Consider the following 16,470-nt stretch of genomic DNA (forward strand, 5'->3'; position numbering starts at 1 on the left):
ATCCTTTTTCAGTGTTGTATTTTAGCATGCAGTTGCCTTATTTAGGTTTAGTCTGGCTTTAGTTTAAGTTTTGTTCTGGCATAAATTCTGGTTTGCTTATGTGAGCTACAACCCCAGTGTGTTTAGATTTCAGACCCATTGCAATGCTATTGTAGAGGTTGAGGTGTTGGACCTGGGTCTCATTATAACACTCGCTGGAGATGCTAAGCTTCTCTGATACTACGTTTTTGGGCTGATGACCCTACCCACAAGTAGCTGGTTATGGAACAGGGGTTGGATAGTTGCACTGTGATTTTGCTGCTGCTGCTGCTCTTGTTGCTGTTGCTGCTGCTGTGGTAGAATTAGACCGCTGGCTGGAGATCTGGCTGTGGAGTGGCCAGGGTCCTCGCTGCCACTGTGGACTTTATTTGCTCCACTGGAGATTCTCCTGTGACTTTATGGGTAAATTGGAGATACTGCCAGTGTGTGGTTGTGAAGAAGGGATTGAAACACCCCACTGGCTCTCTGATGTGCTTCGGCTTCCCGTTCTTTAGCCAGGTTTTCTTATTTGTTTGATCATTTTGTCTACAACTGTTGGTGGTTTTGGATTGCAGTCCAAACCTCTCCAGTCTCCAATCCACAATACAAACAAAAAACAAAAACCCAGAGAACTCACCGTGTTCTTTCCTCAAGTCCTGATATCCCTAATAAATTCACCTTCTTCTTACCCAGAGTTATATTTTGGTTTTCTGTTGAATTATTTCTAGGGCTTTCAGTTGTATTTAGAGGAGAGGAGGAGGGAAAGTGAGTCTATGCCATCTCTTTTCAGAACCAGAAGCCCCTAGTTATTTAATTTTTAATACTGCAAAAAACTTTTCATTAGGACATATGTCTTCATATGCCCTCAATGCACAAATGGCCTCTCAAAGTGCTATCTCCCAGTAATATCACCTTCATTGATATATGATCACTGCCTACTGGATATCTCTTAAATGTGCAACAATCATCTCAGACTGAACATGTCAGAACAAAATTCTTATTTTCTTCCTCAAAAATGCACCTTCTAAAATCTGCCTGTTTTTTGTAAATGCCATCATCATAACATCGTTACCTGATTTTTAAGCCTGCTCCCCACAAAAGAATTATTCTTGGTTCCTCTTTTTTCTTTCGCTTTCATATCAAAGCCAAGATCTATCTGCACTAGATCAAGTAGATCTAGCTACACTATTTTCTAAATACATGTTCACTCTAACTGCTTGTTATCATGGTCACTTCTACCATCATCTACTCTGCCTGAATTACTAAAACAACTTCCTCATTGATTTCCTGCTTCCATTCTTGGTGCGTGTATAATGGTCTCTTCTAGACTTTGTAGCTAGAGTCATTTTTTATTAATGTAATTGACAACATTTCAGTTCTTTTTTAAAACCATTAGCTGTCTGCTTCTGCAATTAGAAGAAAATCTAAATTTTTAATCACGTATTTCCAGACTCTACAATGTAGAGTCTATATGACCAGATGCCTGGCTACTTCTCTGAACTTTTTATAAAACTTTCTCCTTTATTTACCAAATTTCAGCTACTGTAGCCTCTTTCTGTTCTGCAAACATGCCAAACTAATTTACTCTTAGCATACTAACTTCTTTGACTGCCTGAAACAGTCTCCCTAGTACTTTGTGTGAATGATCGCTTTTAATCCCTCAAGTCAAAGTTCAAACTTCTTCCCAAAGATACTTTTCTGTCCACTCAATTTTAAGTATCCTCCTGTACATCTACCCAGTCATTTTCTTTCCCTTTTTTCCCCCGCTAACATTTGTCACTATCTGTAGATATATTATGTATGTGTTTAATTGCTTGGTTACATGTTTATTGTTTCTCTTTCTTTCTCATTTGAATATAAGCTATCACAAGCAGAAAACCTATTGTTTTTGTTCCCTGCTATTTACTCATTAATAAAAACACAATCTTGTACTTAGTAGGTGTAATAAATATTTGTTAAATTAATGAATGAGTAATCTCTCTTGATTTCTACCCAGTTGTAAGCCATTAGCAATACAGGGCTTGCTTTACTTACCTACAATGCCTGGTATATCACAGTTTCTCTGTATCACATAAATTAATCATTTTGAAATGCTGATAGTTTTGCTTGATTAATTGTTTGGTATTTGTCATTCTTGACTATTGTGCAAGGACATGCCAATAATTTGAGTGGAGACAAAAATGAGCTTAAAAGAGTTCATAAAAGGCTTGCTATAAATTGATTCTGTTTAGTCTTCTCAATGAATCTATGCCAAATCAGTGTTACTCTTCCCCCAGATGTAATTTTGGCACTGTCATCTAAACCCCTCTGTTTTTGATCCTTACCTTCTGACTCTTTTGCCTTCTTCTACCTCTTTTTTTCTTTTTCAGTTAATTCATAAAGTGGGGTGTCAAGGACAGCTGGATCCATGTAGCTAACCAGGTGCTCTAATGCTACAGGTGCTCTTCGTGACTGAGCCAATTATACTTATTATCCCCAGAGAAAGGCAACTTCAGTGCCACCTTTAGCCTTCTTGGGGACTTTAAGTGATCAAAGCTTTCTTCTTTGAAGTAGAAAGTTTTATTTATTTAAATAAAATCAATAGCAATGTGATAGCAAAGGGACTCATATGTTCTCCAGTTTGCACATGATCTTCACACTTTTTAGGAAAAGTTTACTGGTTATAGGATCTCAATATCTATGAAAGGGAGACCCCAAGAAGGAAGGAAACATGAATGAGAGTTGACAGTTCATACCCACTAGAAGACAGCTACAAAATGTTATTTGAAATGAAAAATGGTTTAAAAGTGAGTTTCTCCTTCATTGGAGACAGAATGTTTGGGTACATTTCTGAGTCAAGTGCTGTTTGAAGTATTTATCAATGAAGACAAATCTATTTTTAGCAAAATGCTTACTCTAGACTTTCACTCTTCATCATTAAGTAAAATCTAGTGTAATTCCCCCTTTTCCCATAAAACGTCCACATGGAAAATCTTGTCTTTACTGAACTCACTGTATAATTTTACTAGTTCAAATGCTACCTACTCTGTGAAATCTTACTTGTCTCAATCTAAGTTGTGAGGAGCTTCCTTTAATCATATGATATTAAAATAATCTGTTTAGATAGCTATCTCTCCCAGTAGAATCTGGGACCATGACTCAATCTCAATGTGTCTTCAGAAGCTAGAGTTGTCTAGCTTGTCTTATTCACTAAAGTATATTTAAAATGAATTTAGGTGCACACTGTGTTTCGTGTCTCATTACTTCTTCTTGTTTTTCTGTATCAGGAGATGATTTCCCCCAAAGCATCACTCAAAAACCAATTCTGAATAGATAAGGGCCAAAGGTTGAATGTCTTCATCTATTAAGCTGCATCCCCTTAGGAGTAGGAAATTATGTCTGTATTTTCTCTCTAATGCTGTACCTAAAGATATGTCTGACGCAGAAGAGGCACACAGTAAATATTGGCTGAAAATGTAGATACAAATATAACTTTAAAAGGAAGATTAGTAGTACAAAGTTGAATCTGTAAATTTGACTTCTGAAAGTAACAGTCTAAGTTTATGCTGTATTTGTAAAGCAGAAAGAAAAAAATAGAATTACTCTTGTTCAATTTTTTCTGAGACAAAAATTTGCTGAGCTATGTCAATGCCACAAATAGAAGGGGGCAAAAATCCAAGTTCCAAGATGGACTGAAGCTGTTAAAAAAAGTTTTACATTTTCAACCTAGAGATAATCTGTTATTGAGAATAATGTTTCCTTTAATTCCCTAAGAGATTGAATATTTGCTGAATATTCTTGTACTACTTTCTCTCTACATTTTGGCAGCATAAATTGTTAGACTTTGTGTGTTTTGGGTGTTTGCTGTGTTGCTATTTTTAGCCCTCAGTACCAACTGAGCAACAGAAAAACCGGGACTGGAAGTAATAAATTAGGGTTCATTTTTGAGCAAGATCCATCTCAGAGAGTGGTAGGTCCCCTTAAAATTCTTAGAGGAGATTCTTAATTTAAACAGATTGTTGCATTTCCATTCCTCATCTAAAGTTTTATTTTTAAGCCCTTGCTGGGAAGGGTCTAAACATCAAATGAATTTAGATGTTTTAGCCATACACTTCAGTAATTTAAGATCAAATGTTGCTTTTTTATGGAGGGGAAAAAGAGTTATCTGAGAGTTTCTACTTGTAGACAAATAGAAACTTCTGACCCAGGTAAACTGTACCCATGAATGCCTCGATGCATGAATCAAATAATGCATGAAATAATCAATGCATGAAAGAATCAAATCATGGAGATAGGAAACGAAAATATGATAGAAAAGTAGGCAAAGACACAATATAAAGTATTTATTACATAGTTTGATTTTGTTTTATGTTTTAAAATAAGAATGAAGAAACACGTGCCCCAAAAATGATAACTTTACTTTCCCTCCTTTAAATTTCTAAATGTAGAAATTTGGAAATACTAGAGGAATAGCTAGCATAATGTCATTCTGATTCTTCATTCTAACCTAACGCCAATAGAAAAGACAGTAGATGACTGACAGAAATAGACAACTTAATCTAAAATGTATATGAGAAGACAAAGCCAAAAGATAGTCAAAATAATGAAGGAAAATAACAAGGTGGGAAGCAAGAAACAAAGATTTATTAACAAGATATAAAGATTTGTTTTAAAGGCTACCAATTAAAACAGTGTAATTTTGACTTAGTGATAAACAAATAGACCAAATTGAAGAGAGCAGAACTCTAAGAACAGACTGATGGCAAAGTAGAATTATAATCCTTGTTATATTTGTCATTGCAGATAAGTGGGTAGAGGATGGATTACTCAATGGGTAGTGTCTTCTACATTTGTTATACATATGGGGAAAAAACAAATTACAATTCTGACTTTTCACAAAAATATTTTGTGGATAAACTGCTTAAAAGTGCAGGGCAAAACTATAAAACATTAGAAAAATATGAACTATTAATACATGTATAACATAAAAGAGAAGTAGTTCTTAAACAAAATGTAGAGAAATAATAATATGACTACATTAAAAGAAATAAATGCCACCTCTGAAAACCTACCACAAACAAAATGAAAAGACATACCACAAACTTAGAAAAAATATTTGTGTCATATTTATGACACAAATAAATATGGCATCAAAATAGTATTCTTATCTAAAATTGTGAGACTCTCAATATGAAAGAGATAAGGAATATAGTAGAAAAATGGATAAAGGACTTAGGCAGGCACTTTACTAAGAGTAAACACAAATAAACTGTGGGAGTGACGTAAAAGTAATTAAATCATGTATTTAATTTAAAGTTGTTTTTAAAGTGCAGTCCCTTAGGGCATCTTATGAGAGCATTTGAAAGTTCTCTATTGAAAAACTCACATTATTCCAGACCTCAAAAAATGTGCATGCATACAGTTGCAGGAAAAATTAGCAGCTCACAGGAAGAAAACTCATGAAATACCCAGAAAAATAAGGGATATAAGCTAGTCAGCAGGAACAGCCTAAAAATTAAAGACACTGAACTTAGGAAATGACAAAATAAAATGTTTAGTCTTTTATAAATAATTCATTTGAAAGGATACAAAATATGAATAAGGAATACACACATTTTTAGGTCCCTCCCCCCCAATGCTAAATGACGAGTTAATGAGTGCAGCACACCAGCATGGCACATGTATACATATGTAACTAACCTGCACATTGTGCACATGTACCCTAAAACTTAAAGTATAATAATAATAATAATAAAAAGGAATACACACATTTTTTAAAAGAACTTTAAAAATAAAAAATAGGTAATTGAAATAAAACATTCATTGATAGTGCAGAAATAATGTGATGAGATGGAAGATTTTAGATGCAAGGAAGAGTAAAAAGCAAAGAAAGTAGTACACGTGGATGTATAAACACAAATATTTACTGGTAAAAAAATAATAATTCTACTTAGAGTATTGTTCACAAAAGAGTAAGAAACATGATTAACTTTAAAACATAAGTGTTCATTTTAAGATGTAAAGTCTACACACTAAAATATAAAAGGAATATATAATTTACAACAAATTTATCAAAAAATACAAAAACTACAATAAAATATTAATTCTAAAGGCAATAAAAAGAGAAGAGGAAACATTTTTAAGAGGTTGGTGTTGACAGAATGTAGAAGATATCTAGGAAAGCCTACAGAGTGTTGGCATTTTGCAAAGTGCAGGAGTGTTATCAACACATTAGGTGCACTGTCAAAAATAGTCCAGGGCCCATGTGACGTGAAATTACACAGGCGATCCTCCTGGTGATTCTTCCTCAGGGTGGCGTTTTAAAAATGCCAAAGGACACCCCTAAACAAGATAAAATCAATCAGGGGAAACATGTGCACTAGCCAATTCTATCTTTGAGAAAGTGTTGGAGTCGGGTTGAGAAGAGTATTTATTATTTATTTATTCATTATCTATTTATATTGGTAAAGGGTGATACACAGGGACAGATGTGGATTGAAAGTGAAACGAATTTTACTGAGCTTTCAAGTTTAGAACTCATGTCTACCATATATCTCCCACTGATAAGGATATAGTCAGCAAAAATAATCAAAATATTTTTAATCTACTTTGGTTTATGGGTATAAGCTGGGACCACCACTGCTATTAAGATGCAACCCAGAGCAACTGCTATATTGAGTTGGAAGAAAACACAACAGCTTTCTCTTCCCTGACAACACAGCGGCCTAAGGGTGCCTGAAGAAATGAGGATGAGTAGAAGGAAGGGAAAGATTCTTTCTTCATTCTCCTACTCATTGTATTTCAGTCCACTTTTCTTTTAGTGCTGCTCGTGTGATATGAAACAGTTTAATCTCCTGAGTTCAAATATTGTTGTCCACATCTTATCTGTGTGGCCTCAGGTCAGTTATTCAGTGCCTTAGTTTCATCACATGTTTGTCCATCATCATAGTTATACTACCCACCATCTAGCCCTATTGTGAGTATTACACGGTTCACAATATGGATGGTTTACTTATAATAGTGACTGGCCCATAGACAGCACACAATAAATGTTTACTCTTTTTGTGGCTTACAGACAGTCATTTACTATTTCCAACATAAAAGTGACCATTTAAGGACGTGAATGCAGTTTGACCTAAATTTCAAATGTGTGCATTTTATGTATATGTCGCCTATTTTTTCTTTTCACTTATATAAAACTTATAATCCAGCTTGTTAGTGGATGACAAGAAAACAAAATTTAGCGGTAAGTAATTTGCAAATTATTTGTTATGAAATTTAACACATTTAACTTCGTTTATGCTTTTTCCTTGATGTTATAAAGACAGTTTTAAGTTGGATACTAAAGTTAGAAGCGACCAAGTTATAATTAAGTTACTGTTTTCCAGGTAACAAGTATTATTAGTTTTTTTGCCTTAAAATATTAGATTTTTGTTTCCTTTTTTTTTTTTCCCGAGACAGAGTCTTGCTCTGTCACGCAGCTGGAGTGCAGTGGCGTGATCTCGGCTCACTGCAACCTCCACCTCCCTGGTGCAAGCCATTCTCCTGCTTCAGCCTCCTGAGTAGCTGGGATTAGAGGTGTGTGCCACCACTCCTGGCTAATTTTTGTATTTTTAGTAGAGGCAGGGTTTCACCATATTGCCCAGGCTGGTCTCGAATTCCTGGCCTTAAATGATCCACCCACCTTGGTCTCCCAAAGTGCTAGGATTACAGGTGTGAGCCGCCGCACCCAGCCTACATTTTTGTTTTCAACTTTCAGCTATGGTTTCCTGTAGAAAATCTGAACTTTGAAACATCTCAGATCATTTTAAAAGATTATTCAGAAGGCAAGTAGCTCTTTTGTGGATAAAATATTCACTGGCTTCATCTGAACTTACTATTGTCATACTTTCTTCCAAATAATCAAACTCACCACTCCAGTGCTTTGGTCATGGCTTGGTTTATGAGGATATATCTAACAGAGATCTTGAAAAAGAGATATATTAAGTTATTCCAGAAATACATTTTCACAAAACCAAAAGGAAAACAAAAACCAAATGAGAAACAAAGGACAAAAGTACATTTATTTCCATTTATTGCTTGAATTGCATTTAAGTTACGTATATTTTTTTAACAGGATGTTAAAAAGGAAATCATTGTTCTAAATAATTTATATCACACAGTATGTTAATGCCTTTGGGAAAAATGTTAGGTATTAGTAACAATTTTTAAAGCATTATTAAACAAAAGATCACTTAACCTAGCTTCTGATGATTTCATTATTGGGATTCAGTAAGGTCCATTGTTGCATGTAGTATCTTATCATTATGACCAGAGTCCAGATAAAGTGTAATTACTTGGTTCTGTGCAAACACCAGAAAGTTTTTCCTTTTTGTATGCCTTAGGAATTCTTTTAAAACATTGAATAAAGCTACAGTCAGTTCTTCTAGGGGAGATGGAAGATTCATTCACTAATCATATGTTCTAGACTTTCCAGAATAACTTCCTATACTACAGAAACTGAAAAGAAATGAAAGCTGCAATTGTTCTTGTAGTTAGAAGTCTGCATACAACTTACTTTCTATCAGTAACATATACTTGCTCTGACTTGAATTAGAAATAAGTTGATAGCAAGCAAGGTGTCCATTTTGCAAGTTCTGGTTAAAGTGGGAATGCCCTGGCCCAGAAGATAAACAAGTTTTGTTGCAATTTCTTGTAACCCAGTGAGGCAGGAGAACAGGCTCTGGAGGCAGTGAACCTAAGGCCGATTCATGCTGACTTCCTAGAACTAAATCAGAAGGAAAACCCCAACTTTCATGCACAAGTAACAGAAGGACCAGAGGCTACTCTGTTTTCAACCCCCACCCCACTTTTCTGCATGGCAGATAAAAAATTGAAAGTATTTCTGATTGGTCCCCTCCCCAAACCAGTCAGACTGGTGGTAGGTCAAGTCTTCATTTGCATAGGAGTATAACTTTGTAACTTCACTTCAGCCTCCGATTGGTCACTTAAGACAATGCTTGATCATGGGCCACTTCTACATTTCCCTAGGGTTTAAATCAAGTAACCAATGGGAAACCTCTAGAGGGCACTTAAACCCCAGAAAATTCTGTAACCAGTGCTCTTGAGGCACTTGCTTGGCCCACTCCCTTCCCTGTGGAGTGTACTTTCAATAAATTTCGGCTTTTGTTGCTTCATTCTCTTTGCTTTGTTTGTAAATTTTGTCCAATTCTTTGTTCAAAATGCCAAGAACCTGGACACCCTCCACAGGTAGCACCAGATCACTAATAAGGTGATATGTTTCCAAAACCAACAGTTCTTGCGATAGTTTTCTGCTACCCAAATTTAGCTAAGGTGATTTGTTTCTACAAATTGGCGCAGTTGCTTTGTGATTTTGAGCTTCCTGGCTGAGGCAGAGGAAGCAGTTTTCTTTATGAGCTAGTGTGCTGTGTTGTTCTAAGGGTCATCCATAGAGCCTCAGCCTGGAGACTGCTCCCGTGGTTCATCCAATAATTTTGTAAACCTTTAATTCCATGTATTACACTCTGTATCTGCTTAAACTGTCAAGTGTATTTTTGTTATCAACAGTTGAGTTCAAACTGATATAGTATTTGGTACCAGAATAGGTTGCAGACAAGAATAACATCCTTTAAGTGCTTATTGAATGTTAAGGACTGGTGGCAGTAGGATCTTGAAAGTGAAAGGTAGGTGAAAATTTAATCATGAATAAATTCCAATGACCACTGCTGTTTAGAAAGTTGTAGATTTTTTTGGCCAGGTGCGGTGGCTCACGCCTGTAATCCCAGCACTTTGGGATGCTGAGGCAGGCAGATCATCAGGTCAGGAGTTCGAGACCAGCCTGACCAATATGGTGAAACCCCGGCTCTACCAAAATTACAAAAACTTAGCGGGGCATGGTGGTGTGCGCCTGTAATCCCAGCTACTCAGGAGGCTGAGACAGGAGAATCACTTGAACCCGGAAGGCAGAAGTTGCAGTGAGCCGAGATTGCACCACTGTACTCCAGCCTGGGTGACAAAGCAAGACTCTCTCTCAAAAAAAAAAAAAAAAGAAAGAAAGTTGTAGATTTTTTTACACAAATCAACATGGGCCTGAGGCTGGATGTGTAACTACTGATCAGAAAGAAATAAATGTGTACTTCTCTCTTCTCTGTACAGATTTGCAAAAAAGTGCAAATTTACTGTTGCCTGGGGGGATATCAGTCTACTTTCACCATTTTATCACACAGATATCAACTCCCATATTATCATAATTTGCTAAGTGAAATGAGACAGACACAAAAGGACAAATGGTGTGTAATTCCACTTATATGAAATATCTAGAATAGGAAAATTTATAGTGACAGAAAATAGATTAGAGGTTCCCAAGGGCAGAGGGGAGGGAAAATGGTGAGTTATTGCTTAATGGGTATAAGGTTCTTCTTTAGGGTGATGGAAAAGTTTTGGAAATTGATAGTGGTGATGCTTGCACAACATCATAACTATAATTACATCATTGAATTATGTCCTCCAAATAGTTGACAATTTTATGTTATATTTTAGCATAGTAAAAACATTTCTAAAAATTAAGGCCCTTCTTAATTTTTTATTCTGGGCCTTTCTAGCTAGAAGAGCTCTTGGTTCCTGGGTAGTTCTATTTTGAATCAATAATAGAAACTCCTTCAGTAGGTGACACCTGGAATCTCTCACTGGAGCAGGTGTGCCTGTGTGTCTTAAAGGTATGGGAGTCAACTGGAAGACCTACACAGACCTTAATAACAGTATCTGTCCTTGAGGGCCATGGATGTTACATTAGTTCTGCACAATTATTTCAGGACTTTCCAATTTGAAGAGTCCAAATAGATAACACAAAACAAAGATGATCACAGTGTCAGCTGGGCTCCACATTCCAAATTCAGAAAGCAAGGTAATTCTCTGCCTATAAAGTAATTATCATATGCAATTTTATTTTTTCAAGTTTCAATACTAGAGCTCATTAAAAGTCATAGAAAACAATAAGTGGTATCTAAGACAATGAAAGCAGACAGCAGAAACCTTTTGGTTTCAGCCTATTGACATGCCTATCAATAAGACAGATCTTTTGACTCTATTGCTTGTGTATTTAGGTTTGCTTTTTAAATGTCTTTATTTATTCAACAAACACTCATTTTTTTGCCAATAATGTTCCATCTGATATTCCTCTTAAGAGCTTAATTTTGCTTCTACGGAATTAAGATATATGAGGGAGAGAAGAAACTCATGTAAACCTTCATTTCCTTTTCTAAAGTATTATCTGGAACATTGCTGACTTCTTGCAGTGTCAGGAAATTGGAACATTAGTAACCTCAGGTATGAAGTTTCCCTTGAAATTTTGTTCTTTCCCTTGCAGTTTATCTAATTGTCTCAATTCCCTTCTCTTCTTGGACCCTGTGTCACAGGTGTGCCTCTCTCTAAGGCTGTGTCTTAAAGGCATTGTAATCCACCGGAGGACCTTTACAGACCTTAATAACACAAATTGTTTTTATTCTCCAGCAACTGCAGCATCTCCTGCCTCCCTGGGATAGTCCGCATTTATCCCCCACAGTCCTTTGTGTATGCATATGTTAGAAATGCCCAAGTACTCCTCAAGCATTGATTGTTGGAGTCTGCTGAAGGTATTTTCCATTCTTAGGAAGAGGTCTTTCTGGTAATTTTTAGCTGTACACAGTATTCCTTGGAAATAATTTTCATTTATTGATGCCTGACAGTAAGCATCAGAGGAAAAGTTCCACTGGAATTCAAGAGGTTTGTCTTCACTCAATTTCCAATTATGCTGCATTTTCCTTTTATATTCTACAAATTTGATTGATTGCTTGTTTTAAGGAATGAGGTAAATTAAGCTCAGTCAACTATCTGACATGCTTGTAGCTTGAGACAGCTGAGGAACAGGTGGTCTAAAATGCATAGCCCTTTCAGTTAATTTAGTGGACTCACTTGAATCTAATTCTAAGAAAACCCATCAAGCTGTCAATCAAAGACCCTTGAGTGAAGGGAAGGCAAAGCAACAGGATTAAAGCAAAGCAATTATATTCACCAAGCAGAAGACTTTATTTCATGAAAAGAAACAGCAATGCCAACAGATGTTAAATTGGATTAGCTGAAGTTTGTGTTTGTGTTTGGATTTGGATATATATTTTTCCCTATAACTTTTCTGAAAAAGTCCATAGAAGTGTTCTATTTTACTTTTAAGACCAAATAAGCCACTGTATAATCTCTGTTCACTGGCTGGAGTTTGCATTTTTCTTTACTATGATGGGTGAAAAAGTTTTCTGCTTTAAAAACCAGGTCTTTGGCTTTCTGTCAGTACACACGATTTTTGAAACATGGTGTCTTCTATTCTCCATCTGTTATATCCCTAATATTTATTAAAACTCCTAAACACCCAAGATAGACCAGTTAGGTGTTATAACACCTAACATAAACAAGTTCTAGAATGTAAAATAATGCCTTGTGCAGTAGGAAATTGAAAAGCAGCAGCCCAGTAGAACAATGGGCAAAGGATATGAAATGAGGGGGTTTCAAATGGCTAATTATTATCAGGAGATTCAACATTGGTTAGCAGTAATCAGGGAAATGCAAAACTGTATTGATCTGGATTGGTTACTGTATGGTAGATGCACCTGACAGTGGTAATCTGCTCATACCCTAAGAATAATCCTGTATGGCAGATGCACCTGAATGTTCAGGTTTTGGCGCTAAGGAATCCAGGAGTAGCCAACCTGGAGATCCATTCCTTATCTAAGAGGAACATCTGTGTCCCTGGCCCAGCCCCTGGAAGCATGCCATACTAGAGATCGAGACCCTTTGTTACGGGTTAAACGAAGATTGCCAGGTGGAGGTTGTTAGGGGGAGAGTGTTAAGTGAAAATTTTGTGTAAACTGAATGCTTTCTGAAAGTGGTTGCAGTTTTTCTGTCCAGCCCACCACCACTGGACTCTCTCCCCTGTATAGAAGCTCCTGATAACACCCCATGTCTCATTCTCTGGTTCTGGGTCTCTTCTTTGGCCTCTTGAACCTGGTGCCATCCCCGTTGGAGTCAATAGAGTTTTGGCACGACAGCTACACACTGTGTTCTATTTGTAAAAAGGTATTGAGATGTACACATGTATACTTTTCTGTATGTTTATTACATTTCAATAAGGAGTTGAAAAAGGATCAGAAGGTAAAATACTTAAAAAAAGATGTCAATTTATACCCTTACAGACTGGCAAAGATCTGAGCAACTGAAATATCAAATATTTTAGAGTTGTAAAGAAATGTGGTACCTTCCGCACTCTTAGTGGGAACATAAACCGGTACTCTCTTCTGAGACAGAAAAAAAATCTGGCACTATTTAGTGGAACTGAGAATGCTCAAACTCTAGAACACAACAATCCCACTCCTGGATATAACAAAAAAATTATAATTTAGGATCTCAAGGAGAAATGTAAAAGATAATGAGTAGAAATAACAGTTCCTTAAATCTGATATTAAATAAGATATGCACATAAAGTGCCTGGGATCGTGCCTTTCACCTATGTGGACCACATACATACATGGTAACTAATGTGGCAGGGAAATGGAGAAGATGGAGATGGGACATACCTTGTTGGATGCAAGAAGAAATGCAAAAATAACTGAACTCACAAAGTTAAATGTGTTTAGGAGTAAATGACATATTTCTCCCTCGATTCCTAGGCTTGTGGAAGAAAGAGGAAACAAGAGAAAAAAATTATTTGCAGATGAGGAAGTTCATGACAAAAAGGTAATGAAGCCTGCCTGAAACAACTCAAGTTTCCAAAATGTCTCTGGGGCCACAGGAAGCCTCAAAAGCCATCCTTGGAGTTCAGATGATATCCTGAAAAGCCACTGAAGAAGACAAGGACTTATGAAGTGACAGAACAAAGCAAAGAAATTATATTCAGCTGACATAGGGAATGGCAGAAGGGTAATGAAAGAAGAAGGCCCAGAAGCTGGAGATAAATCAATGAGCAACAATACAGGCAAAAGTGAATTGGCTAGGGCTAATTGGGTTTAATAATTATCATCCCCTCCTCACGCACAAGTGCATCAAAGTAGTTTTGTATTCTCCATCATAAAGATAACCTCCCCAAATTTTATAAACCTAACAGAGAAACCCAAAGTGCCCTATCTCTAGACTCCACTCCAGACAAATGCCTTTTTCTTTTTCTTTTTTTTTTTGTTTTTGTTTTTGTCCTGTTTATGTTGAAAGAAAAGACATTACAGGTGCCATCTGTTCAGCTGCATCACCTCTAGAACATTGCCTGGCGAGATCATAGAGGATCGCTATATCCCAAGGATTAACTAACTCTCCCATAGTTTCATTTCTCATGCCTTACTTTTTCAGTACAAAATACATGCTGTTAGGGATTACCAGAGAAGAAATTCACAGCAGAAACAGCCAAGGAGACAATCTTGCCTTCATCCTGAGTCCCACACAGGATGAAAGAGGTAATCAGAGGTGTTACAGCCTCTTAGACATGTGTAGACTATTGAATTAATTACACAGTTCCACTTTCTCCTGTGTGTCTGGAAATCAAATCCAAAATAGCTACAAATTCTTTGGAGAGCACACCAATAGGTCACTAGCCAGATTCACATTTTATATCATAAGGATTGATTTTTTTTTTTTATCTGGGATTGCATAAGGAGACCATTGAAACCTACATAATTGTTAAATTTGGACAGATTTTCAGCATTGTAAAGACCACGAAACCCCATTTGGCCCCCTGTGGGGTCTTATTATTGCAGTCAGTTAGCTAAATAAATGTGTAATCTGTAACTGCTGGCATAAATTACCTATTTCACAGCCTTCTTCAGAGCATGAAAAAACATCAGAGAGAGACATAGAAATTCTTTTTTTGTAATGCCATTTACTGTGGGCAAATTGATGAAACAGCTTATGTATCTCCTTCACTAAGCAAGTGACCCCTGAAGGGGAATGCATAGCAGCTGGAATTGTTCAGCCAATCAAGGCAAGCAGGTGTAGATGTGACCTACTCGACTTTGCAGCTCAACTTCACAGACTTTACAGATGGGTTAAAGTCTTGCTGTTTTCTCAAAGCTTGGGCCTGTGTCAGCAGCAGCAGCAGCAGCAGCAGCATTGCCAGGGAGCTTATTAGCACACAGATCCTTGAGCCTCACCCCGGACCCACCCGAACAGAATCTGCATTTAAAGCTCCCCAGATGATTCATGTGCACAGTAAAGACTGAGAAGAAATGGTTTGAAGATATGATACTGAGCTGATAAAAAACTGCCCCCGAAGCTATCTGAGGTCTAAGCTCACCACTGAGACATGAGGAAGAAGGATATATGTACTATATTTGTTTACATGGGCTCTGGAATCAGAAAAAAAGGATACAAACACTGGATCAACCTTTACTAGTTCCGTGCCCTTGGGTAAGTTGTCAATCTCTTTACTTTCAGGTCCCTTAACTCTAAAGTGGGATAATAATATTACTTCATAGGATTGCAATATTCATGCTGAGCTCAGAGAACGTTGCCTCTGAGCCCTCAATATCAGTTCTCTTTCAATAGTAGTATGATTCGAAGGTATAGATACTGATGGCATAATTTGGGAAAGCATAACTGAGTCCTATCACCTCTGCTGCAGACCTTGATTATCCTTGATTATAAATACTGCTGCAGGGTCCTCTGCTTGCCTCCTCCTGGCTCAGTTCTCTGCAAGAAAACGTGGATCCTCCAATGTAAGATTCGAATACATTTCTCAGTTCCACTGATATTGGGTAAGAGACCACTTTTTACAACATCCTAAGGTCTTACATGGTGAATAAAGTAAGGCAAAGAAAATGTATAGGGATCCTTTCCATGCCAATAGCACTCACACAAACATGATGAATGTTTCTAAAACCCACCGGACTTTCTGTAAGAAGTGGGGCAAGCACCAACCTCGCAAAGTAACACAGTACAAGAAGGGCAAGGATTCTCTGTAGGCCCAGGGAAAGTGGCGTTCTAACAGGAAGCAGAGTGGCTATGGTAGGCAGACTAAGTAGATTTTCTGGAAAAAGGCTAAAACTACAAAGATTGTGCTAAAGCTTGAGGGTATGGAGCCCAACTGCAGATCTAAGGAAATGCTGGCTATTAAAATACGCAAGCATTTTGAACTGGGAGGAAATAAGAGAAAGTGCCAAGAGATCCAGTTCTAAGTGTCATCTTTTGTTTTATTACTGTATTAGTCCGTTTTCACACTGATGATAGAGACATATCTGAGACTGGACAATTTACAAAAATAAGAGGTTTAATTGAACTCAATTCCACGTGGCTGGGGAGGCCTCACAATCATGGTGGAAGGTAAGGGAGTTGAGGATATGTATAATGGGTATAAACATACATTTAAACAGAAAAGAATGTTACAATGTTTGATAGCAGAGTAGGATGACTAGAGTTGACAACAATGTATTGTATATTTCAAAATAGCTAAGAGGGGACTGCAAGTGT

The 16,470-nt window shown here is 37.0% G+C and overlaps 1 pseudogene, besides 1 other annotated feature; it reads left to right on the forward strand.

Annotated features, from left to right (window-relative positions):
* Positions 1,174-1,223: a silencer, noted in NCBI's record as "silent region_14194". NCBI's record gives its function as "represses an Ori minimal core promoter by ATAC-STARR-seq in GM12878 lymphoblastoid cells {active_cell/tissue: GM12878}" and the evidence as "EXISTENCE:reporter gene assay evidence [ECO:0000049][PMID:35858748]".
* RPL36AP17 (ribosomal protein L36a pseudogene 17) lies at positions 15,835-16,193 on the forward strand (annotated as a pseudogene).

Source organism: Homo sapiens, chromosome 3 (assembly GCF_000001405.40).
Source record: "Homo sapiens chromosome 3, GRCh38.p14 Primary Assembly".
NCBI lineage: Eukaryota > Metazoa > Chordata > Mammalia > Primates > Hominidae > Homo > Homo sapiens.